The sequence below is a fragment of the Homo sapiens genome, chromosome 3, assembly GCF_000001405.40.
Source record: "Homo sapiens chromosome 3, GRCh38.p14 Primary Assembly".
Taxonomy (NCBI): Eukaryota; Metazoa; Chordata; class Mammalia; order Primates; family Hominidae; genus Homo; species Homo sapiens.
Genome location: NC_000003.12, coordinates 123,833,993 through 123,860,106, shown reverse-complemented (window position 1 = coordinate 123,860,106; position 26,114 = coordinate 123,833,993). Strand labels below are relative to the sequence as shown.

The 26,114-nt window shown below is 37.9% G+C and overlaps 1 protein-coding gene across 9 annotated transcripts in view; it reads left to right on the top strand.

Annotated features, from left to right (window-relative positions):
• MYLK (myosin light chain kinase) overlaps window positions 1-26,114 on the top strand; it is a 274,284-nt gene that overhangs the window by 24,226 nt on the left and 223,944 nt on the right. Inside the window, exon 3 of one of the 9 annotated variants that reach the window (XM_047448187.1) lies at window positions 24,172-24,239. The exons of the other annotated variants lie outside the window; for them this stretch is intronic. The gene's annotated coding sequence lies outside the window, so the exon portion shown is untranslated. The remainder of the gene's footprint in view (window positions 1-24,171; window positions 24,240-26,114) is intronic. 9 annotated transcript variants of the gene reach the window in all.

Sequence of the window (26,114 nt, the reverse complement as noted above, 5' to 3'; positions counted from 1 at the left end):
AATAACCTTCTTCAGAAAGTATATACTTATGCTAGTGATGATGCCATTGCTCAGAATGTTTTTGGAATTTCACTTTTAGAATTGTGTTTAGTTTAGAATCATGCCTTTTTCCTTCCTTCTGAGGGGGAGTTTTTTTTTTTTCTAACTGCGTCTGAAAATATTAAAGAATCCATCACTTAAAAATTTATATATGTATCTGTTTTTTTTGTATCTGTTACCTAAAGGGGAAATTACTGGCAGCAATTTGATCCCCACACGTTACCAGAAACAGATACCAGTCATTTAAACTTTCGTGAACCTCATGGGTAATACACGCTATCTCATTGTTAATTTGTGCTTACCACTACTGAGGTTGGACATGTTTCCATGTATTTTGGCTATTTGTGAATTGTTTGTTCTTGTCCTTGGCTCATTTTTCTATTAAACGATTTGTCTTTTACTCCTTGAGCTATAGAAGCTCTTCATATGATAGTGGTATATGGACAGTTCTTTTAATATCTTGTGTTGTGACACAGCTTCATCTTTTGAACATAAATTAGATTTTTGGAAATGCATGGCTTGTGACTGATTAAGTCAGGCTAAAGTGACTTCAGCAATGTTATTTCAGTACCCATGTCTGGAAGGACTTAAACTTGTCACGGACTTGGAGTCAGATGTAATCAGGAATAGACAGACTGTGTTGGAGGTGTGATTAGGATGAGTAATTGACTAGTTGAGAAGCTGATGAAAACTTCATGTATACATACCTAAAACATTTTAACTTAAAACATATAATGTTAAACATTTAGTTGCCAAACTTTCACCATGGGACCCAACTGGGTTTACAAATGGGAGCCTATGTTATCTTACTTGTTTGCTCTATGCCTGTAAGGCATTTTCTGCACATTCCAGTTTGAATCTTTTTAGTGTAGAATGGAATTTAGGCACTTTGAAAGCCATTAGAATGCAGAACTCTTTTAGTTTTTATAATTTTTCCCTGTTTTTTACAGTTGTCCCATCCAAACCTAATTCAATAGTAATTTTTTTAACAATTCATTTCTATCATTTAACTTTCACAGAAACAGATCTTTTATATTCACATTTAATCACTTTATATACTATTTAAATTATATGTAAATTTAGTGTTTCAATTTCAATAATAAATACAATGGGCATAACCGGTTTTAGGGACAAGCCAGCTGACTCTTCGTAAGCACACAGCTCTCCTGGATGAAGCCAGTTTGGTAGGAAGAGAGCTGTTAATATGAGTGAACAGATACATTTTAGTGAAAGGAGGCTGCTATGTTTTGGACGTCCGCTCCAAAACTCATGTTGAAACTGGGTCCCCAGTGTGTCAGTGTTGAGAGGTGGGGCCTTTGGTGGGGGTGATTAGGTCATGTGGGCTCTGCCTTCATGAATGGATAAATCCATTCATGGATTAATGGATTAATAGGTTAATGAATAGATTAATCCATTCACAGATTAATGTGTTAATGGATTAATGGCTATCAAGGGAGGAGAACTGGTGGTGTTATAAGAAGAGGAAGAGAGCCTTGAGCTAGCATGGTCAGCATACTGCACTGCCTCAGGAATCTTAAGAGTCCCCACCAGCAGGAAGGTTCTTACCAGATGTAGCCTCTCGACCTTGTACTTCTCAGCCTCTGTAATTGTAAGAAATACATTTCTTTCTTACTCCTTAGTTTCTGGTATTCTGTTATAAGCAACAGAAAATGGACTAAGAGGCCTATGGCTATCTCAGGCTGTCTGGGGACCTAAGAGACAAAGGGAATGGGTGAAAGGTTAGAATCACATTTCTGGAGAACCTAGTCCTATTTTCCTTTCCTTAGTACTTTGAGACCTCTCCCACTCTGGAGACCTCTCAGTTCTCCCAAGCTGCACTCCACATTTTTCTGTCTATGAAACCATCTTCAGGTCCAAGGACAATACCACAGGATCTGGGCACTATTGCAAGTGATAAACATAAGCATGACAAGCAGATAGCTCCCAAGAGCCTCTGTAGCAGGAGCAGCAGCAAGAAAACTACCAACCCTTAGGGCACTGAAGATGGCCCAGAATCCAATACCAGCGGGTACCCAAAAGTCCTTTGTCCTTCGGTTTACATTATGCCCGTGGCTGAGAGTCATCAGGCCATAGGCCCCAAGTGCAAGTGGGAGGGTTGAAGTGCAAGGGAAAATTAATATATACAGGCCAGGGTGACAGGCCCAGTGTAGGCTATTAGGCTGGATTTGCCCCAGGATTGAAAACTTAGTTAGGGCCATAGCCCATGACACACAATTTTTTTTTTCTTTTTTCTTTCTTTCTTTATTATTATTATACTTTAAGTTTTAGGGTACATGTGTACAATGTGCAGGTTAGTTACATATGTATACATGTGCCATGCTGGTGCACTGCACCCACTAACTCGTCATCTAGCATTAGGTATATCTCCCAATGCTATCCCTCCCCCCTCCCCCGACCCCACAACAGTCCCCAGAGTGTGATGTTCCCCTTCCTGTGTCCATGTGTTCTCATTGTTCAATTCCCACCTATGAGTGAGAATATGCGGTGTTTGGTTTTTTGTTCTTACGATAGTTTACTGAGAATGATGATTTCCAATTTCATCCATGTCCCTGCAAAGGACATGAACTCATTATTTTTTATGGCTGCATAGTATTCCATGGTGTATATGTGCCACATTTTCTTAATCCAGTCTATCATTGTTGGACATTTGGGTTGGTTCCAAGTCTTTGCTATTGTGAATAGAGCCGCAATAAACATACGTGTGCATGTGTCTTTATAGCAGCATGATTTATAGTCCTTTGGGTATATACCCAGTAATGGGATGACTGGGTCAAATGGTATTTCTAGTTCTAGATCCTTGAGGAATCGCCACACTGACTTCCACAATGGTTGAACTAGTTTACAGTCCCACCAACAGCGTAAAAGTGTTCCTATTTCTCCACATCCTCTCCAGCACCTGTTGTTTCCTGACTTTTTAATGATCGCCATTCTAACTGGTGTGAGATGGTATCTCATTGTGGTTTTGATTTGCATTTCTCTGATGGCCAGTGATGGTGAGCATTTTCTCATGTGTTTTTTGGCTGCATAAATGTCTTCTTTTGAGAAATGTCTGTTCATGTCCTTCGCCCACTTTTTGATGGGGTTGTTTGTTTTTTTCTTGTAAATTTGTTTGAGTTCATTGTAGATTCTGGATATTAGCCCTTTGTCAGATGAGTAGGTTGCGAAAATTTTATCCCATTTTGTAGGTTGCTTGTTCACTCTGATGGTAGTTTCTTTTGCTGTGCAGAAACTCTTTAGTTTAATTAGATCCTATTTGTCAATTTTGCACAATTTTTTTTTATACCAAAGATCAGGTGTCCTCAGTTTGCAATATGGAAACAATTTGGGTTTGGGAGTCATATGTGAATTCAAGTCCAGCCTGTGTAACACTTTGAGAAATCACTGAACTTCTCTGAGCCTGTTTCCTATATTGAAAAATGAAGATAACATTGCCCTGGTTTGTATGAGTAGCTGATGTGAAGATTAGGAACGTATATAAAATGCACTGTAATACATAAAGAAGGTCCCCATTAAATAAAGGCTGTTATTATTAAGAGGTACTCAATAAATATTTGAATGGATAATATAGTTAAATGGAAAACTGGCTGTGTTAGGGTTGACTTGGCAAAAGCAAAACCAAAAAGAAGCACACATGTGAAATAACCCCTGTTGTTAGGTGGTTAGCATTGAGATTTATGTGCCTCATTCAACCTGGTACCCTGGTGAGACCAATTCTGGGCAGTTCCCAGTGTATGCACAAACGAGAGGGTTGTAGTGGTGTGTTACAGAGGAAAATGTTCCAATTGGGAACCAACTTTCTCCTTCCACACTCACAGGCAACAAAGCGTTCCTTTCCAGGTAAAGAGGAAGAAAAACTACTGAAGTGTCATAGATTCTCCATTTGTTGATTCCAAACTAGGTGTTGTCCCTTTATATTTCCAGTAACTGAGTAAGGATAACATCACAAACACTGGGGACTCAGGTGCCCAGGCCCCAGTGTACCAAGTTCTGTTCTGGAAAGAATAGACTTGCAGTTTTGAGATATAAACAAATTGCAGTATTCACTGTTTCCTCTTTCATCTCACTCTTTCTACCTGAAATGTTTACACTCGAATGAGTGGAAAAGATTATATTAGTCTTTAAAATTCCTGACAAAGTCCTCTGCTCTAGGTGGCTTGATCAGTGAAAGCTTTGGTGTAAAAGCAGAAGGTCCCAAATCTCTAGGGCAGGTAGTGGTGGCAAAAAGCAGGATCGGGGTCTATTTGCTTTGGTTACCATGCTTGTCTTTTGGAGTGAGAGGCTTTGGCAAAGTGATGATGCTTCTGGGGCACCAGTTAGGAATGGTTGGCATTCACAGATGATCTCCTTCTCCTTTTTAAAAATTTTAATTTTGTTTTTATTTTTTTAATTTCTTGTATTTATTTTTTTAAGGACAGGGTCTCACTCTATCACCAAGGCTAGAGCAGAGTAGCACAATCATAACTCACTGTAGCCTCCAACTCCTGGGCTTAAGCAAACCTCCCACCTCAACCTCCTGAGTAGCTAGAACTACAGGCTCATGCTCCAGCCTGGGTGACAGGATGAGGCCTCATCTCTTAAAAAAAATAATAAACAATGAGATCAGGTATATATAAAAACATATATAAATGAAAAATATAGTTATTGAAATAAGATGCAATAGATGGGATACACTGGAGACTGGTTACCATTGAAGCATGAGTTAACAGATTGGAAAATAGTACGGAGAAGTTTAGCCTGGCTGCGGCACAGAAATATAAAGATGTCAAAAACATGAAAGAACGGTTTAAAGGTATGGAAGGTAAATGACAGGCTTCAACATTATTTAATAAAAGCTACAGAAAGAGATTTAAAAAGGGAATGGAAGTGAAGCAATATTTAAATAAATGATTAATAATTTTCCAGAATTGAGTAACAACATGAGTTCTCAGAACAAAAGTGTCTCCTAATACTTTGAAAGCTAAACAAAAGTTAACCCGCAATTAGACATAGTGAAACTGCAGAAACTGCTTTTTATTTCTCTTCAGAAAAGAGAAAAAAGAGCAACTTAAAAATCCAAAATAAAAATACAAGTTATGTATAAATAAATGACAGACTGACAGGTATTTCATCAGCAACAAGAGAGGTAAGAAGACAGAGGAGTAACTTTTCTGTGTTGACCCTAAAATACTATACCTAGATAAACTATCCCAGGAGAATGAGAGCAAAACAAAGACCAAGAATATAAATACAAAGATGCTCACTGAAATAACTATTAAAGGATATATTTTGAGTGTTTGTTTCTTTTTAATTCCCATTTCTATTTTAGATTCAGTGGGTACACGTGCAAATTACAAGAATATATTGTGAGATGCTAAGGTTTGGGCTTCTATTGATCCCATCACCCACAGATAGGAAACACTGTATCCAATAGGAGGTTTTTCAGCCCTTGCCCCTCCCCCTCCTTTTGGAGTCACCAGTGTCTATTGTTCCCATAAAGGATATGTTTTGGAAAGAAAAAATTAAACAGTGAGAAAATATGTACAATGTAAGAGGCAATGGTAAACATAGAAATTGATAAAATATATTTATATTTATTTGTTAGCTATGCAAAAAATTCATAAGTGTGTATGGTTTGAAAAACATGATTAAAATGAAGACTAGGCAACAATAGCAAGATGGTGCAGATTTTTTGGGGGAAAATGTTAAAGCCATATTCAGAGTCAGGAAGATAATAATTATAGATTTTTTAAGAAAAAACTATAGTCATCAATTGTACCCAGAGGGTTAGGCTACATTACTAAACTCAGTGGCCCAAAATAAACATTATCTTATTTAGCTTCCAATTCTTTGGGTTGGTTGGGCAATTTTTAAATCTGGGCCAGCTCAGCAGATCTTGATTGGACTCTATCATGCCTCTATGGTCAGCCGGCGACTAGATGATCTAGGATAGCCTCACTCACATGTCTGGAAGTTGACTGTCTGATCCTTGGATGTCTTAGTTCTCTTCCAAATTGCTTCTCATCTTCCAGCAGGCTACCTTGGGGTATTCACATGGTAGACCCAGGTTTCCAAATGCAGCAAGAGAGAAGCATTTAACTGTCCAAAAACTTTTTAAGCCTCTGCTTATGTTATATGTGCTAATGTCCTGTTAGTCAAAGCATGTCACATTGCCAAGCCTGGATTCAATGGGGAGAGAAATAGACTCCACATCTTGACAGAAGTAAAATAATTTATGGGTGTTTTTGGAATCTATCAGAGTCTGCTCTTTGGCCTCATTTCTCATGCATGCAAAATATGCTCATCCTTATCCTAAGCTCTCTGTCTTATTTATAGCATCAGGTTGGAAGTCTATGATCTCATGATTTTATCACATTCAGATATGAAAGAGGGTCCTCAGCTGTAGCTCCTTGGGTACGGCAGCTCTTGATCCAGAATTTAAAATGACAAGTCACCTGCTCCCTACACCTCCATCATATAGTGGTGAGACGGGCAGGATAACTGGAATAGACATTTCTCTTCAAAAAGGAGAAAAACAAAAGGCACATAGCAGTTACTGGTCTGTAACAAATCAAAATTCCCCTGGGGCAAATGTTGCCAGGTCATCTAATCTAGGACCATTGCTTCTGCTCTCTGGGGTGTCTTCCCAGTTTGTTGTTCTCCAAGGCTCTTGACTCCATTCTCTAGTATCTTGGTTCTCCCCCTTAAAAAGCCTTTCCTTTTCCATAAGAAATAGTGCAGCTGAGTCCCTCTCTCATCTGTCTTTCTTTCCATAGTTGAGGGCCCAGAGACCTCTTTGTGGCTTAATCAATTTTAGTCCCTTCCAGTCCAAGCTGATGGTGTTTTGTTGGGATGATTTTCTTTAAAATATTGTGGGCTTTCTATGTAATAGGATATAGCCCAACTCATTGTATAAAAACTACACCCACAATTTTTTTTTTTCTCTCTAGAGTTATTCGGTGACTTGGGATTAGGCTTCTGTCAGGCCCTTAAGATTCTTAGGAGCTTTTTTGACAAGATAAGGTGTGCTAGGCACTTTCTTAAATCCTTCAGAGGCCTTAACAAATGGTCATACAACCCAACTCTTAATTTGCTCTTTTAAGGCCTCCTTTTACTCTGAGAATATTTTACTCAAAGGTTGTCAAATATGGGGAGACTGGAGACGAGGTACAGTTTTATTTTCCAACACCGCAAATCCTGGACCTTCTATATTCCATCTAAATTCTGGTTGCAAACTGAACATTTCCTTCTTTAGCTCACCTTTGTCTTGCCATACTTTAGCATATGCAGTTAAGAGCTCCTAAATGACACTTTCGAAATTCTGTCTGGAGATCTACTTAGCTGCAACTAGGAGTTCACTAGGGTCTTTTCTTTTTGAAAATCTCAGGAGCTGGTTTTTTGAAAAGATCAGCAAAATTGATAGACCGCTAGCGAGACTAATAAAGAAGAAAAGAGAGAAGAATCAAATAGACACAATAAAAAATGATAAAGGGGATATCACCACCGATCCCACAGAAATACAAACTATCATCAGAGAATACTATAAACACCTCTACACAAATAAACTAGAAAATCTAGAAGAAATGGATAAATTCCTGGACACATACACCCTTCCAAGACTAAACCAGGCAGAAGTTGAATCCCTGAATAGACCAATAACAGGCTCTGAAATTGAGGCAATAATTAATAGCCTACCAACCAAAAAAAGTCCAGGACCAGACGGATTCACAGCCGAATTCTACCAGAGGTACAAGGAGGAGCTGGTACCATTCCAATCAATAGAAAAAGAGGGAATCCTCCCTAACTCATTTTATGAGGCCAGCATCATCCTGATACCAAAGCCTGGCAGAGACACAACAAAAAAGAGAATTTTAGACCACTATCCTTGATGAACATTGATGTAAAAATCCTCAATAAAATACTGGCAAACTGAATCCAGCAGCACATCAAAAAGCTTATCCACCATGATCAAGTGGGCTTCATCCCTGAGATGCAAGGCTGGTTCAACATACGCAAATCAATAAACGTAATCCAGCCTATTAACAGAACCAAAGACAAAAACCACATGATTATCTCAATAGATGCAGAAAAGGCCTTTGACAAAATTCTACAGCCCTTCATGCTAAAAACTCTCAGTAATTTAGGTATTGATTGGATGTATCTCAAAATAATAAGAGCTATTTATGACAAACCCACAGCCAATATCATACTGAATGGGCAAAAACTGGAAGCATTCCTTTTGAAAACTGGCACAAGACAGGGATGCCCTCTCTCACCACTCCTATTCAAGATAGTGTTGGAAGTTCTGGCCAGGGCAATCAGGCAGGAGAAAGAAATAAAGGGTATTCAATTAGGAAAAGAGGAAGTCAAATTGTCCCTGTTTGCAGATGACATGATTGTATATGTAGAAAACCCCATCGTCTCAGCCCAAAATCTCCTTAAGCTGATAAGCAACTTTAGCAAAGTCTTAGGATACAAAATCAATGTGCAAAAATCACAAGCATTCTTATACAGCAATAACAGACAAACAGAGAGGCAAATCATCAGTGAACTCCCATTCACAATTGCTTCAAAGAGAATAAAATACCTAGGAATCCAACTTACAGGGGATGTGAAGGACCTCTTCAAGGAGAACTACAAACCACTGCTCAACGAAATAAAAGAGGACACAAACAAATGGAAGGACCTTCCATGCTTATGGGTAGGAAGAATCAATATCATGAAACTGGCCATACTGCCCAAGGTAATTTATAGATTCAGGCCATCCCCATCAAGCTACCAAGGACTTTCTTCACAGAATTGGAAAAAACTACTTTAAAGTTCATATGGAACCAAAAAAGAGCCCACATTGCCAAGACAATCCTAAGCCAAAAGAACAAAGCTGGAGGCATCACGCTACCTGACTTCAAACTGTACTACAAGGCGACAGTAACCAAAACAGCATGGTACTGGTACCAAAACAGAGATATAGACCAATGGAACAAAACAGAGCCCTCAGAAATAATACCACACGTCTACAACCATCTGATCTTTGTCAAAACTGACAAAAACCAGAAATGGGGAAAGTATTCCCTATGCAATAAATGGTTTTGGGAAAACTGGCTAGCCGTATGTAGAAAGCTGAAACTGGATCCCCTCCTTACACCTTATACAAAAATTAATTCAAGATGGATTAAAGACTTAAATGTTAGACCTAAAACCATAAAAACCCTAGAAGAAAACCTAGGCAATACCATTCAGGACATAGGCCTGGGTAAGGACTTCATGTCTAAAACACCAAAAGCAGTGGCAACAAAAGCCAAAATTGACAAATGGGATCTAATTAAACTAAAGAGCTTCTTCACAGCAAAAGAAACTACCATCAGAGTGAACAGGCAATCTACAGAATGGGAGAAAATTTTTGCAATTTACTCATCTGACAAAGGGCTAATATCCAGAATCTACAAAGAACTCAAACAAATTTACAAGAAAAAAACAAACAACCCCATCAAAAAGTGGGCAAAGGATATGAACAGACACTTCTCAAAAGAAGACATTTATGCAGCCAAAAGACAAATGAAAAAATGCTCATCATCACTGGCCATCAGAGAAATGCAAATCAAAACCGCAATGAGATACCATCTCACACCAGTTAGAATGGCGATCATTAAAAAGTCAAGAAACAACAGGTGCTAGAGAGGATGTGGAGAAATAGGAACACTTTTACACTGTTGGTGGGATTGTAAACTAGTTCAACCATTGTGGAAGACAGTGTGGCAATTACTCAAGGATCTAGAATTAGAAATACTATTTCACCCAGCCATCCCATTACTCGGTATATACCCAAAGGATGATAAATCATGCTGCTATAAAGACACATGCACACATATGTTTACTGCAACACTATTCACAATAGCAAAGACTTGGAACCAACCCAAATGTCCAACAATGATAGACTGGATTAAGAAAATGTGGCACATATACACCATGGAATACTATGCAGCCATAAAAAAGGATGAGTTTATGTCCTTTGTAGGGACATGGATGAAGCGGGAAACCATCCTTCTCAGCAAACTATCGCAAGGACAAAAAACCAAACACCGCATATTCTCGCTCATAGGTGGGAATTGAACAATGAGAACACTTGGACACAGGAAGGGGAACATCACACACTGGGCCCTGTTGTAGGGTGTGGGGAGGGGAGAGGGATAGCATTAGGAGATATACCTAATGTAAATGATGAGTTAATGGGTGCAGCACACCAACAGGGCACATGTATACATATGTAACGAACCTGCACGTTGTGCACATGTACCCTAGAACTTAAAGTATAATAAAAAAAAATGAATAAATGTACTCAGAAAAAAAAAGAAAATCTCTTAAGTTACTGCAAGCTTTAGTTTCACCAGTTGTTCTGTCTCAACCCAACACGAGCCATCATTTTGCCAGCCTGCTATAGCAGTTTCTTCTCCATTTCTCCGGCAAACTGTTTTCTTACTGCTTTTCTCACCACTAGAAAAGCCATTATTTCAAAGCCAGTACCACATGTTATAATTTTTCTTATGGCACCACCCCACATTTGAAAGCAACTGCTGTATCAGTTAGCTTTTACTATATAATAAACCACCCCAAAATTTAGAGACTTAAACCATAGCTATTTTTATTTATATCACAATTCTTTGGGTTGGCTAGGTAGTATTTCTGATCTGGACCAGCACAACTGATCTCTTAACTACATGCAACTAAAGCTATTCTTTGAGGAAAATTTATGGCCTTAAATGCATTTATGAAACATTTAACATATGAAAAATAAGTTGAGGTCAGGCATGGTGGATCATAGCTATAATCCAAGCACTTTAGGAGGCCAAGGTGTGGATCACTTGAGCTCAGAAATTTGAGACCAGCCTGAGCAACATGGCGACACCCTGCCTCCACAAAAAATACAAAAATTATCCGGGTGTAGTGACGCGGGCCTGTAGTCCCAGCTACTCAGTAGGCTGAGGTGGGAGGATATCTTGAGTCTGGGAGGCTGAGGCTACAGTGTGCTGTGATCATGCCACTGAACTCCAGGTTGGGCAACAGAGCGAGACCCCATCTGCCCTCAATTCCTACCAAAAAGAAAAGGATAACATGTTGAATAGGTATTACTATAAATTTTATTTGGCTATATTTAAAAGATAATCTAAATGACCATGGCTTTAATGACCTAGGGGTTTAACATTTGCCATATAACAAGAAGTTTCGAGGTAGTCCAAGGCAAATATGGATTCTCCATTATGCCATCAGGGTCCTGGGCTCTTTTAACATCCAGTCATCTAAACATAATTTTCATACTCATGCTTGCTGCCTCATGGTTGCAAAATGGCTGCTTTACTTCCAGTTTAGCATTCACATTCCAAGCATGATGGAGAAAGGACAGGTTTTGAAAAAGGCATGTGCCAAGTGAGTTGGCTACCTTTAATTAGAGAGCTTTCTTGGAAGCCCTATGTAATAACTTTCACTTATATGTCATTGGTTAGAACTGTGTCATTTGGCAGTTCCTAGCTGCAAGGGAGCCAGGGAAGTATAGTGTTTTTTTTTATTTTAGCATGGTGTATTGCCTTCCCAAACCAAATAAGGGTATGTTAGTACGGAACAAGGGAGAATATTATAAATATTGTGTAAGCAATTATTGTTGTCTACTATATATATCCTACTCAAGAAGCTAGAAAAAAAATCCTAAAGAAACCTTTGGAAAAGTAGAAGGAAGGAAACAAAGGAAGACAAATGAAATAGAATGTCATTTGGAGGATTAAAAAAGTGATATAGATAAAACCCTAGTAAGGCTTTTTTTTTTTCAAAATAAGACCCACAAATAATATTTTGAATGAAATGGAAATATAACTCCTGATATGAAATTGATAATAAACATCAAAAACCTATACTCTGAAAATTTTTATGTTAAAATTTGGATTAGGAGGACACATGGGTAACTTTCTGGGCAAATATAATTTGCCATAACTACTTCAAAAGATATAGAAAACTGCAGTAAAATAACAATTATAAAGAATTTAAACTGATAGTTAAGAGACTTCTTCTCCCAAAAATATAAGGCTTAAATGGTTTTTTGCATGTAGAACTCCAAGAAGTAAATAATCCTAATATTGTGCAAACTGTCTAAGAGGATAGAAACTGGGGAAAAGCTGTCTTTTTAAAATAATGATAGTATAACTTAAATATCCAAATAAGACAAGAAGAACACAAGAAAGGAAAATTGTGGGCCAGTTTTATTTATAAATATAAATGCTTATGAAATATTTACAAATCTATTTCAAATATTTACATTCTGATTAAGTAGAGTTTGTGAAAGGAATAGAAGGATGATTCAACATTAGAAAATATATTAATGTCATAAAGAATATTAACAGATTAATAATGCCTATAATCTATTACATACAGAAAAAACATTAGTCAGAATTTAGCACTCATTCACAATTGAGGCAAACTTCTCAGAAAACTAAGAATAGAAGAGAACTTCCTTAACTTGGTAAAGAACATCTATCAAAATAGTACAGCAAAAAACAATCCTTAACAATACACAGTAACATCAGGCTCGCTTTCAATAAAGTCATAAAAAAGACAAGAATGCCCTTTATTGCTATATTCAGCATTGTACAGGAGGTTCTAGCCAATGCAATAGGACAAGAAAAATGTGAATATTGAAGATAAAGATTAAAATGTTCTTACTTGCATACCAATAAGATTTTCTTGGGATTTTTAAGTGGAAGATACAGTCATCCCTCACTATCCATGGGAGATTGGTTCCAGGACCTCCCTTGGGTGTCAAAATCTGTGGATGCTCAAGTCCCTTATATAAAATGGTATAGTATTTGCATATAGTCTACATGTATCCTGCTGTATACTGTAAATCATCTTTAGATTATATGTAATACCCAATACTATGTAAAGGCTATGTAAATAGTTGTTATACTGTATTTTTTATTTGTATTATTTTTATTGTTGTGTTGTTATTTTTATTAGATTTTTAAAAAATATATTTTGGATTTGCAGTTGGTTGAAGCCGTGGGTGCAGAACCCATGGATATAGAGAACCAACTGTATACTGTAAGAATTCCAAGTTCCATAAATACAGTATCAACATATTAAAGTACTATTTACCAGGAATAACCAATTAGAAAAATTAATAGATAAAGGATCCCATTTTCAGCAGTAACAAAAGCCATAATATACCCAGGAGTACACCTAACCAAAAAGTACACAAGAATATTTATGAAGAAAATTACAGTTGTTGAAAGGAAAAAAAAAAGAGATCCTTAATAAATGGAGAAAAGGGCTATATTGATAAACTGGAAGATTCATTATAAAGGTGCCAGTTCTCCACAAATTAATTCATAAGTTAAATGTACTTCTTAGTATGGATGAGCATATGGAATGACAGTCTCCTACGCTGCTGGAAGGACGGTACTACAGCTTTAGGAAACAATTTGGTTATACCCTTTACACCCAGGAATTTCGGTCCTAGATGGAGAATCTTTCTTGTGTACCTGAGTAGACGTTTAATATTAAAGTGTTCATTGCAGCAAAAAATGGGAAACAGTCCAAATTTCCACCAGTAGGAAAATGAATGAAATATTATGCATACTATATATAGCAGTAAAAGAACTATAGTTATATTTCTTAAGAGATCAATCTCAAAAACAACATTGAATGAAAGAAGCAAGTTACAGGAGGATATGAAAAGAATAGTGTTTATATGCGTTTTAAAGCCTGGAAAACAACACTATATATACAGTGTTTGTGCTTATACTGTCTTTCTGTGCATTCACACAAACATGTCTGGGAATGATAAAACAATGAGTTTATAATGGTTCTTACGGGAGGAACAGACATGGAAATGGGAAGAAAGGGTTCCCAAAGAGACACAAATGTATCTGATGTTCTTTTAATCAAGAATCCGTTTTGTCGCTATGATAGAAATCTTTCACCATTAAAAAGTGCTTTATCCTAAATGCAATGAGGTATCTTGGATTAGATCCTGGAACATAAAAATAACATCAGTTAAAAAACTGGTGAAATCCAAATAAAGTCTGGTTTCTTAGTTTTGAAAAATGTACCATGGTGATGTAATAGATTAACATTAGGGGAAACAGAGTGAAGAGTACCAGGGACTCTGTATCATGTCTGAAATTTTTCTAAGAATATAATGTTATTCCCAAATAAAACATTTATTTTAAACAGTGGGGAGGTGGTGGAATTTTTTAATGGCTTGAATTAGCTGGGCATAGAAGTGTGTAGCTGTAGTCCTAGCTATTTGGGAGGCTGAGATGGGTGGATTGCTTGAGTCCAGGAATCTGAGCCTGCAGTTAGCTATGATTGCCATTGTACTCCAGCCTGCGCTACAGAGCAAGACCCTGTCTCTAAAAAATAAAAAAATATAGCTGGGCATGGTGGTGTGTACTTGTAGTCCTGGCTACTTGGGAGGCTACGGCAGATGGATTGCTTGAGCCCAGGAGTTTGAGGCTGCAGTGAGCTGTGACTGCACCACTGCACTCCAACCTGAGCAACAGAGTGAGACCTTGTCTCAAAAAAACAAAACAAAACAAAACGAAAACCCAAAAGGTGCTCATGTCTATTTCCCCAGCATTGTCAACTTTGAACTCTGTCCCTGAGGTGGATGGACTCCTGACATGTCCTTGCGGTAAATATTTCCTGGGTATAAATGATGCTTCTAGTCTTTGTGTCCTGCATGTCTCATCTGCCCTGTTTTAGGACACTCCTAGAGGGTACCAGTCTCTCTGCAAAGTCTTCTTTATTCCAATTTCATGGGTCATTTGGTACTCACCTAAGACCCAGAGATCTTAGAGTTGGAATGGACCCTAACAGAGTGCCCTGTGCAGCCCCTTTCCACAGGGAGGTCAGTCCTCTGGAGGATAGGCTGAGGAACTCAGTGAGCAAAAAGGACTAGAACCCAGAAGTTTGCTTCCTAGAATTATCTTTGCTGTCACCTCATTGTCTCTTACAATAAAGGCAAAAGAGACTGAATACCCTCTCTTATTTGTTTGTTTGCTTTGAAAACTAGTGGAGAGGTCAGGCACTGTGGCTCATGCCTGCAGTGCCAGCTACTGAGGTGGCTGAGGCAGGAGGATTGCTTGAGGCCAGGAGTTCAAGGCTACAGTGCACTATGATTGTACCTGTGAATAGCCACTGCATGCTAGCTTGGGCAACATAGCAAGATCCTGTCTTTAAAAAAAAAAAAAAAAAAAAAAAAACAACTGAGGAGAAGAGTTATATATTACCCAGAAATGGTGACACACACTGGAGCTGGAGTTATCAAGGTGAGGTTGGTGCATCTTTTTTTCTCTGTGCTTACAGACCTTCCTAAGATTAGACACTGTCTGCTTCTGAGGGAAGAGTGGGCTGGGTGCAGACAGAACTAAGAGTTGTAGAATGTATGCCTGCCCCTCCGTCTTTATCACAACCCGATGGAGTGGTCAATTGCTCCTGTCTTAAGATGAGTTAACAGGCTTAGAAAGGTTAAGTGACTTCCCTAAGGTAATAAAACTAATAAGAGGTAGGCCTATATTTTAGGATTCTAAGAACTCATGACTAAGGAAGACCCCTCTGAAGGCAGGGAGGATGTATTCCCCAGAGCCAACTTTTACTCTTGAAAGAGCTGTGGCTGGGAATGATGTGGAACCTGAGCCAAGACAGAGCAGCTAGCCTAGGACAGGTTGAGGACAGATCCAGGTGGTGAGGATCAGGCCTGCCAGGGCTACATGCCACCATGGATTCCTCCCTCTGGAAAAGAAAGTTATACAAGTTGGCTTCCTGCTCCTCCTACCCCTCATTCCTCTGTTCCATCCTAGCTTGGGGGCCCATGTCCACTAGCCTTCCTGGGAGGCCTCCCCCAAACCAAGGTCCTTGCTTTGTCTCTGTTTAATAGGTATGGGAGAGGCTTATGTGACTAAAGAGGACACCTCAGAGCTTGGTCGAGATAGGTGTGTGAGAGTAAACTCAATCATTATGTGAATGTGGTTGTTGGCTGAACACAGAGCATAAACCTAGAAGATTTGTGGGAGCAAGGAGGGAAAATGCCTTTTAAGAGAGGTCTCCAAGGAGAATATGAGATTAGTTGAGGTTCAGTGAGTTCCTTTGTTGCTGACTCAAGAAGCATATTTGAAGGGATAAGCCCTCTCACTTAGAGCAGAAGCATCCCAGCCTTGTTGCCATAGTGACAGTGCTCAAACAGAGGCTTAAAAAACAGAAAACACCATGTCAGAAGGATTCCTTTGGAGCTATGATGCCCCAGTAGAGGTCCCAGCTATTGTGTGCTATGGAGGAGAGGGGCAGGGAATTTGAATAGTTCCCCTTCCTTCCTGTTTCTTGCTGTGGGGCTTTTGTTTTGGTCTTTCTCTCTGGACTGATACGGCCTTTGGAAAGGGATGTGTCTCTGCAGAAGGAACCAGTCTTCTTTTAAACCTGTGTCAGAAGTTGGAGGCATCTCTCTTTTTCAGGCCCTTTTCTTGGTTATGCTGCCTGTTAACTTGCCATTCTGGAATGTAGCAGAGTTTTCTGTAAAGCCAGCCACCTTACCTTTATTCCTATTAGAACATGAATCTGTTTGAAGCAAGCTACATATATAGTCTCCTTGTCCTGCTCCCTAGCTTGGATGCTCTTAGACCTGGATGTTCATTCTTATCTCATAGAGGAAGGATGAAAGGGCCCTTACAACCAGACAGACCTGTGAGATGTGGTCACTAGTCACTTGGCTTATCTGGCCTCTTTAAACTGTGCCCCAATTTGCAAGGACATATTAAAATATATGATTATTTCTCCTAATCTGTCTGATTTCATTGTTTCCAGTATTTTTGACATCTGGTCTTCGGCATCTTTGCTTTGACAACATGGTTTAGACTTCAGTTTGCTTTGACCCATGGACTGCTGAGACTTGAGCTATTGAATTACTGATACGGGAGTTGTGAGGGGTGTGTTGAGTCTGTTACTCCTTCTGGTTCTAGGTCCCTGCCTGATAAGCTGTATTCCACACTATCCGAAGATCATACCTTAAGCCTCAGCAAGCCCTCTGTCTTAAATATCAGAGTGTGTGGGTTCTGTACCTTGTCAGATCCGACATGGTGTCCGTCCCAGCAGCACATTGGGAGCTAGCCAAATCTGGATTAGACATAGTCTTGCCTTAGGGCACTTGCAGTCTAGTGATAGAAGTGACGCTAGAAATGTAAGCACCTCAAAGGAGAGATCTTTGTCTATTTTGCTTTGTTCATTAATGTATCCCCTATGCTTAGAACACTGACTGGTATGTAAGTATTTAATACAAATGTGTTGCATAAATGGACACAATGTCTATGAACAATGTCAAAAGAGAAGTACAAATGAATAAGGCAGTTTCAGAGAGATAAGATATTGGCAGAGGAAATGAACAGACAAGTTGATCTTGTTTTTTGTTATTGACTATATGATTCTTTGGAATTTGTTGAGACTTGCATTATAGCCTTTTGCAGTTTAATTTTTGAAAATATTTTCTATGTGTTTGAAAAGAGTAATGCATATTTTGTAATTATCAGGCATAGGGTTCTATATATGTCTATTAGATTAAGCTTTTTTGCCCATGGTGACAAATTTGGGAGTTTTCACACAAATAATTGTGAGATTGGATTAAATTGAGCAGAATTGGCCTGATTCTGAGCTGTGATATTGGAGATAGTTACTAGACCCCCATTTCTAAAACTGATGATGCCAGGGGTATTCTCTACCTCTTTATCTCACTTCTGTTATTATTATATAGTGATTCTCTTTCTGATTAATTATATTAAAGTCTTTTGTCTGATATTAATTTACTTATTCCAACTCTTTTATGGTTAGTTTTTGCCTAACTTATTTTTTCATTTATTATTTTCAATGCCTTTGTGTTTTCTAGGTTCATCTTATGAATAGTATATAGGTGGAATATATAGCTACAGATATAGATAGATATTGTATATAATATTGTATAATAATATTTTATCTGTCTTTTAATGGGTGAATTTGGTCCATTTATATTTATTGTGATTTCTGATAAAGTTAGAGTTGGAGAGACATGAGTATACCTGGATGGATGAATTGCTGATGGCCATGATGGGAGATAATCTACCACAACAGTATACCAGAAGATACCTAATAAATGTTAGTTCTCTTTTTTAACCCCTGTCTCTAGTCTCTTCCTAGTGGATATTTGGATGATTTAAGTAGATTTTTTCTGATTAGCTCCTTGGGTACAAATGTTATATCTTCCTGACACTCTCAGACTCTCTAAACCCTAGCATTCTGACCTTGTAGGTGGTGTATAAAAGAACTGGATTGATTGTAGGGGGTTAAAGAGGGAGTGGGTGGAAAGGAAATTGTGGCAGGAGATGTTGATGACTCATTGAAAACATATGAGTGGAAAGAAAGGCTAGAAATATGATGGTAGCTAGAAAAGGGAGTAGGTCTCATTGTTGGTATTTTTAAGAGAGGATGTCTGAAGACGGAAAAAAAGGAACTGACAGAAAATGAGTGGTTGAAGGTATTAATGAGGCAAGGACTAAGCTATCACTTATCAGCTTCTTTAGAGTGAGAAGCAGGGAGAAAGGGATATACAGAAAAATATTTTTACAAGGTATTCCATAGAAATATACATCTCTACTAAATTATTAGTGTAAACTATGTAAAGATAGGCAATATGACTTTTAAAATATAGATTAATCTCATATTTCCTTACCAAGCTCTTAATAAACATTAGTTAGGCCAACTGGATTTTCTGTCTCTACTATTTTATAGCACTAGGAAGAACTTTTAATTCATCAAGTCTATACTCCCATCTAAGATAGGAGACCTTTCATAGCATCCTTCACAGATAGTTGTCCAGGACCTTTTGAACACTTGTGGTTTTAAGAATCTACCACCTGAAATATGAAGCTGCTGCCTTTGTCCAGAGGTCCGGTAGTAAGAAGCTCCTCTTTTATTCAATAGAAATCTGCCTATATGTAACAAGCTCTTTCTGGAACAGCATATCATGAATATAATTTCATTATATGTTTGAAGTCTCCACCATGTATCTGTTTCTTCGTACTCCATCTTCTAACATTACCTGAGACCTGTCTCATAAGAGGACTTCTGGATCCCCAAGAAACTTTTGCCTTTTTAAAACAAGGAATTCCAGTTTTTTGCATTCAGACTAAAGCAGTTGCCCAGAACCATGAATGAAAACGGAATTTTGTCTGATTTTTAAATATCTAAATAAAATGATTATGTAGTTTTTTTCTTTGTCACTAAGTTGATACTGTAAATTACACTGATTTTCAGTTGTTGAACCAGCCTTACATTTTCAGGATAAACCACACAGAATAATAATATATTTTTTTCAAAATATATTGCTGAATTTGATTTGCCATTATTTTGTTGAGGATTTTTGTGTTTATATTTATGAAGAATATTGTTCCATGGTTTTTTTTATAATGTCTTTATCTTATTTTCATATCAAGTAATGTTGCTCTCATAAAATTTCTTTAATTGAGGTTCTCTATTTCTTCTTGTGGGAATTTTGGTAGTTTGTGTCTTTCAGTGAATTTTTGTATTTTATCTAAGTTGTCAAGTTTTTATATTATGACATAGATTTGTTTATATATATATAGAGAGAGAGACTTGTTCTATATATATGGATTCATATATATATATATATATATATAATGTCTGTAGGATTTGTAGTGATGTTCTCTATTTTATTCCTGAGATTTATTTTTGTACCATCTTTCTTTTTTTCCTGATCAGCCTGCCTACAGGCTTACCAATTTTATTGATCTTTCCAAAAACCAAACTTTTGGCTTCATTGATTTTCTTTTCATTGTTACTGATTTCTGCTTTTATCTTTATTATTTCCTTCTTTCTGAGAAATTTGGTTTTAATTTGTTCTTTTTCTAGTTTATCCTAAAGTGGAAGCTTAGATCACTGAGTTAATACTTTCCTTCTTTACTAATATAAGCACTTAATGCTACACATTTTCTTCTGACCTTTTCCTGCATCCCCCCAAATTTGACATATTGTGCCTTTTTATGTCCATTCCATTTGAAATATTTTCTAATATTCATTGTGACTTATTTTTTGAACTGTGAGTTATTTGGAAATGTGTTGTTTAATCTGCAAGCATTTTAGGAATTTGTTAGATACCTTCCTGTTACTAAGTTTTAGTTTAATTTCATAACGATCAGAGAATATTTCTATGTGGTCTCACTTCTTTTAATTTGATTCAGGTTTGTTTAGTAGCCCAGAATATGGTCTATCTTGATAAATCTTTCATATGCATTTGAAAACAATGTATATTTTGCATTTGTTGGGTCAAGTGTCAATTCAGTCAAGTTGGTTGATAGTGGTGTTCACCTTTCTAAATTCTTACTTATTTTCTGTGTACTTGTTTTATCAATTACTGAGAGAGGAGTGTTGAAATCTCTAACTACAATTGCGGATTTTCCTAGTTCTCCTTTCAGGCCTAAGACTTTTTGGATAATGTATTTTGGAACCCTGTGTTAGATGTGTACACATTTAGGAGTGTTACATTTCCTTAGTGAATTGATCCTTTTATCATTATGAAATTACTCTCTTTATCCCTGGTAATATTCCTTTTCCTGAAATCTGCTTTGTTTGATATTAATATAGCCATTTCAGTTTTCTTTTGATTAGTGCTTACATTTATATCTTTTCCCATTGTTTTATTTTTAACCCATTTCTGTCTTTATATTCAAGGTGAGCTTTTTTTGTGGATAGCATATAACTGGGTCTTACTTTTTTATACAGTCTAACAATCTTTAATTCATGTAGTTAGGCCATTTATAATTAATGCAATTATTGATATGATTGGATTAAAACTACCATAAATATTTTTTGTTTCATCTTTTTCTTGTCCCTTTTATCCTCTTTTTCTGCTTGCCTTTGTATTTATTGAGATTTGTTTGTTTGTTTTGTTTTGTTTAAGGTGGAGTCTCGCTCTGTTGCCCAGGCTGGAGTGCAGTGGCACAGTCTTGCTCACTGCCACCTCCACCTCCCAAGTTCAGGCAATTCTCCTGCCTCAGCCTCCCAAGTAGCTGGGACTACAGGCACGTGCCGCCATGCCTGACTAATTTTTGTATTTTTAGTAGAGATGGGGTTTCACCATGTTGGCCAGGCTGGTCTCAAACTCCTGACCTCAGTTGATCTGCCTGCCTCAGCCTCCCAAAGTGCTGGGATTACAGACATGAGCCACCACATCCAGCTGAGAATTTTTATTATTTCATTTTATCTCCACTATTGGCTTATCATTATACTTCTTTTTAAAAATGTAGTGTGTGCTCTAGTGTTTACAACATATATCTTTCATCACAGTCTACCTTCCAATTATATCACTTCACGTATGGTATAAAAACCTTAGAATATTATACTCCAAGTTCTTTCTTCTCAACTCTTGTGCTGTTGTTGTTATGCATTTTTCTTTTACATACCCTATAAACCCATAGTACATTACTACTATTTTTACTTTAAAAAGTCAATCATCTTTTAGAGCAATTAAACATTTTAAAAAATGTCTTATATATTTACCTTCATTTTAACCATTTCTGGAGATCTTAGTTTATTTGTTTGGATTCAAATTCTGTCTGACATATCCCTTCTGCCTGAAGAAGTTTCTTTCTAGTTCTCATTATGCAAGTTTGTTAATAATTAATTCTCTCAGCTTTTCATTTAGTTTCCAAAGTCTGTATTTTTCTTTTATTTTTGAGAAATATTTTCAGGAGTATGGAATTCCAGATTGACAGGGTTCTTTCTTTCAGTACCTTTAAGATTTCCTTTGTTGTTTTCTGGGTTTGCACTTTTTCAGATGAGAAGTATGCTTTCATGTATTCCCTCACCCTGTCTGCCTTTAAGATTGTTTCTTTCCCTTTGATTTTCAGCCACTTGAAGATTATATGCCTAGGTGTGTTTGGTTGTTTTTGTTTGTATTTATACTGCTTGAAGTACTCTGAGATTTTTGGATTTGTGGTTTGATGTCCTTCATTATTTTTGGAAAATGCTTAATTATTATGTAAGTATTTCTTCTGACTCATCCTCTATTTCTTCTCTTTCTGAGATTCCAATTATATGCATATTAGACCATTTGATATTATTCCATAGCTTTTAGATTCTTTGTTTTCTTTTTTTCCCCCTACTCTTTTATTTCTTTGTGTTTTAGTTTGGATAATTTCTGTTGACTCATCTTCAAAATCACTGATTTTGTTTCCCCAGTTGTGTTGAGTGTGCTTGTGAGCCTGTTGAAGCCATCCTTAATCCATAGAAACAGAAAGTAGACTATTGGTTGCCTAGGGTTGGGAAACCTTAGGGTAGGATATGGGGAGTGACTGTGAATAGGTATGGCATTTCTTTTACAGGTGATGCAAGTGCACTAAATTCATTGAGGTGATCAGTGCACAACTCTTTGACTATACTTAAAAAGCATTGATTTGAAGACTTTAAATTGTATGGTATATGAATTATATCTCAATAGAGCATATATATATAAAATATGTATTATATAATTATATATTATATGTAATATATATAATATATAATTATATATAATATGTATATATAATATATACAACTTCATCTTTTATGTTCAAAGGCTACATTGATAAAACTCTGGTTAGAATCAGGAAGGAGCAAGACATCTTACTGATGGTGCTGAAGGGTGTATAGAACAAAAATAATTCTGAAGGAAATGTTACAGGCTGGGCACAGTGGCTCATACCTGTAATCCCAGCACTTTGGGAGGCCAAGGGGGTGGATCACCTGAGGTCAGGAGTTTGAGACCAGCCTGACCAACATGGTAAAACCCTGTGTCTACTAAAAGTGCAAAATTAGCCAGGCATGGTGGTGCATGCCTGTAACCCAGCTACTCAGGAGGCTGAGGCAGGAGAATTGCTTGAACCCAGGAGGTGGAGGTTGCAGTGAGCTGCACCATTGCACTCCAGCCTGGGCAACAAGAGCGAAACTCCGTCTCAAAAAAATAAAAAGAAATGTTACTATAACTGAAGCTGGTGGAAGGATAGGAATTATTATTTTGTCCCGTGTTACATACTTGATTCTAAGTGTTGGAAAATGACTCTATTAAGTAGGAAGTGTTCTTAATTAGTCCATGTCTTTATGTTTCCATGTGTTTTGTAATTTATAGTTATTAGTCTTATAAATTTTAAAAGTTCCAAGTCATCCTGATGCTTTGAGTTCTACCTAGTGGTCAAACTCCTCTCTACTATGTGTCCTTGGACGCCTGACCCACCAGGTACTAGTGTTATCTGGTAGTGATACTGTTGAATTTTAATGACCTGGCTGAGAGTTTCCATATTACCTCCTTCTGTTATAAAACAAAATACAAGTAGGCCTGTGGAGAGTTCTCCAAACTGAGAATTTTAGTACAGCTTTCCTACAGGAGGTTCACTAAGAAATCCACAAACATCATGTGGTAGCCTACCAGGTGCTCCTTAGCTGCAGGAAAGATACCCATGCCCTGGAGTGTTGTATGTTTCCAGACACTCAGAACACTTCTAAGTGTTTCTTGATGTTTCTGGTATGGCATAACCCCCAAAATATATTAAGCAAAATAAAGCAAGGTGTAGAAGAGTGTGTATAATATGTTATTATTTGTATTTAAGAAAAAGTGGGTATAAAAATATACATGTATTTTCAAAACATATCTCTAGAAGATGTGATTACATGGCTGATTCTGGAAGAGAAGTTGGTGCTGGATACCTAGGAGCTGGGTACCTAGAAGCAGGTGTGGGTGAAAGACATTTCACTATATACTTTTGTATCTTTTCAGTTGAAGGGGCAAGGGAAAACTTCTCCTTTGCCCTCTGAAGGTTCACTAAACATCAAATGACAAAAGGTGGATTAATAGTAGAAGAGGCACATAAATTTATTTGATCATAGTTTTCCATGACATGGGAGCCTTCGAATGAAGACCCAAAGATACAAAGGAAACGTTCATTTTTATGCTTAGGTTCAATAAACTGTGGACAACTGTGTAAAAATATGATTGGGCAAAAAGGGTATAATCTAATGCTAATAGACTGAGTAGGGAAACTCAGCAAGGCCTTTCTGTTTGTATTCCTCCTCTCTGTGCAGCATTTCTTCCTTCTGATGGGGCAAGACTCTCTCTGGAATGGGGCTCTTATGACCTACAGTCAAACAAGGTAGGTCAGATAATTTCTTTATGGCCAGTTTTTACACAGAAAGGCCAGGGGGAGAAGTTAGAATAATATTTTTAGGTTTCCTGGCTGGCTTTAAGGAAAAGGGATTCTGGTTTCTATAACCTGCCTTGGGGAAGAGGGATTCTGGTGTCCTTGGAGGAGAATGAGTGGCCAGAGACAGGAGGGAAGAAGAAGGTCAGAGAGAAACTTTTGCTTCTGAGGCTGCTTCTGAAGTCTTCATTTTGGGGTATTGTTTTCTGAGCCCCCAAACAATTTCAAACCATATAACTGTATTTGCTATTCAAACAGGAATACAAGTTAAATTAAAACAAAATCTTCCTAGGATGGTTAATTAAACTTGAGGCTCAGATTGGCCCTTGATAATTTACTCTTTGTCCTTATTTCTCATCCCTGGGGTCTTCTGTCTTCAGGTCTTCCACCCCTGATCAGTTGCCTGCCACAGACATATTCAAATATTCCCCTCCGTCTCTGAGCCTAATAGAAACTCTACACAGGGATGAAGCAGGATTTCTAAAATCTCTCTTGTGACTGATTGCCATATTGAACCTCAGGCTTTCTAGACCAGTGGTTCTCAACCTTGAGCCTGCATCAGAGTCACCTGGAGGACTTGTCAATACGCAGGTTTCTCAGCCCCACACCCAGAGTTTCTGATTCAGCAGGTCTGGGGTAGGACCCAATAATCTGCATTTCTAACAAGTTCCCAGGTGATGCTAATTAGGGACCACACTTTGAGAAACACTGCTCTATCCTAAAATAGTTTCTCCTATGATGGATTGATGTGTAGTTTTTGTGTTCCAGTTGTGTCTTCATTTAGACATATAAAGAAATAAAAGGAGAGCTATGTTCCTTTCCATGGGCATGCTTATAGTGCACCATTGCCCAGCTCTCTGTCCAGCCAACAATACCCTTCAGGCTCGTTATGCCTCATAAGACAATATGCATTTTACCACCAGCAGAGCTGACACATCAGAAACCTGGCATCCTCCTTCATCTCTACTTCCCGGAGCAGACATTCTTGTGGTCACTGCCATCAACTCCCTGTAAAGACTTAATTGGTATTTTAGAGCAGGCACTAGAAGAGTCATGCTAATTACTCATTTCCCTTCCAGTGTTTCTCTCCAGTGGTGCTATTAGCATTTTAGGCAAGACAAAATGCTTTATAATGCTCTTTATAATGAGCATTCTATTTAATGTAGGACATTCAGCTCCTTTCCCTTGTTCTCAAGTCGTTGTGACAGTCAATAATCCCACTGCGCATCCCAATGCTCCCTCAATCCCCCTAACCCTTAACCCCGTGCAACCTGCCTGCACCACCTTTACCCACCTGCACCCCCACCTCCAGGATGGGTGATGAGGGCAACTCAACTTTCCACTGAGAACCACCAAGACCTTTATTAAATTACCTGTCCAGACCTTTGCTTTAGATCCCTGCAAAAATCCCAAGACATATTTTATTATTTTCCTTTTTATCAAATGTTGATATTAAAAAGTTACCAAACTCTGAGGCTGGGCGCAGTAGCTCACGCCTGTAATCCCAGCACTTTGGGAGGCCGAGGCATGTGGATTGCTTGAGGTCAGGAGTTCAAGACCAGCCTAGCCAACATGGTGAAACCCCATCTCTACTAAAAATACAAAAATTAGCAGGACATGGTGGCGTGCACCTGTAGTCCCAACTACTTGGGAGACTGAGGCACAAGAATCACTTGAACATGGGAGGCAGAGGTTGCAGTGAGCTGAGATTGCACCACTGCACACCCCAGCCTGGGCGACAGAGCAAGATCTGTCTCCAAGAAACAAAAAACAAACAAACAAACAAACAAAAAACAGTAATGAAATGCCAAATGTTTCCTTTTGAAA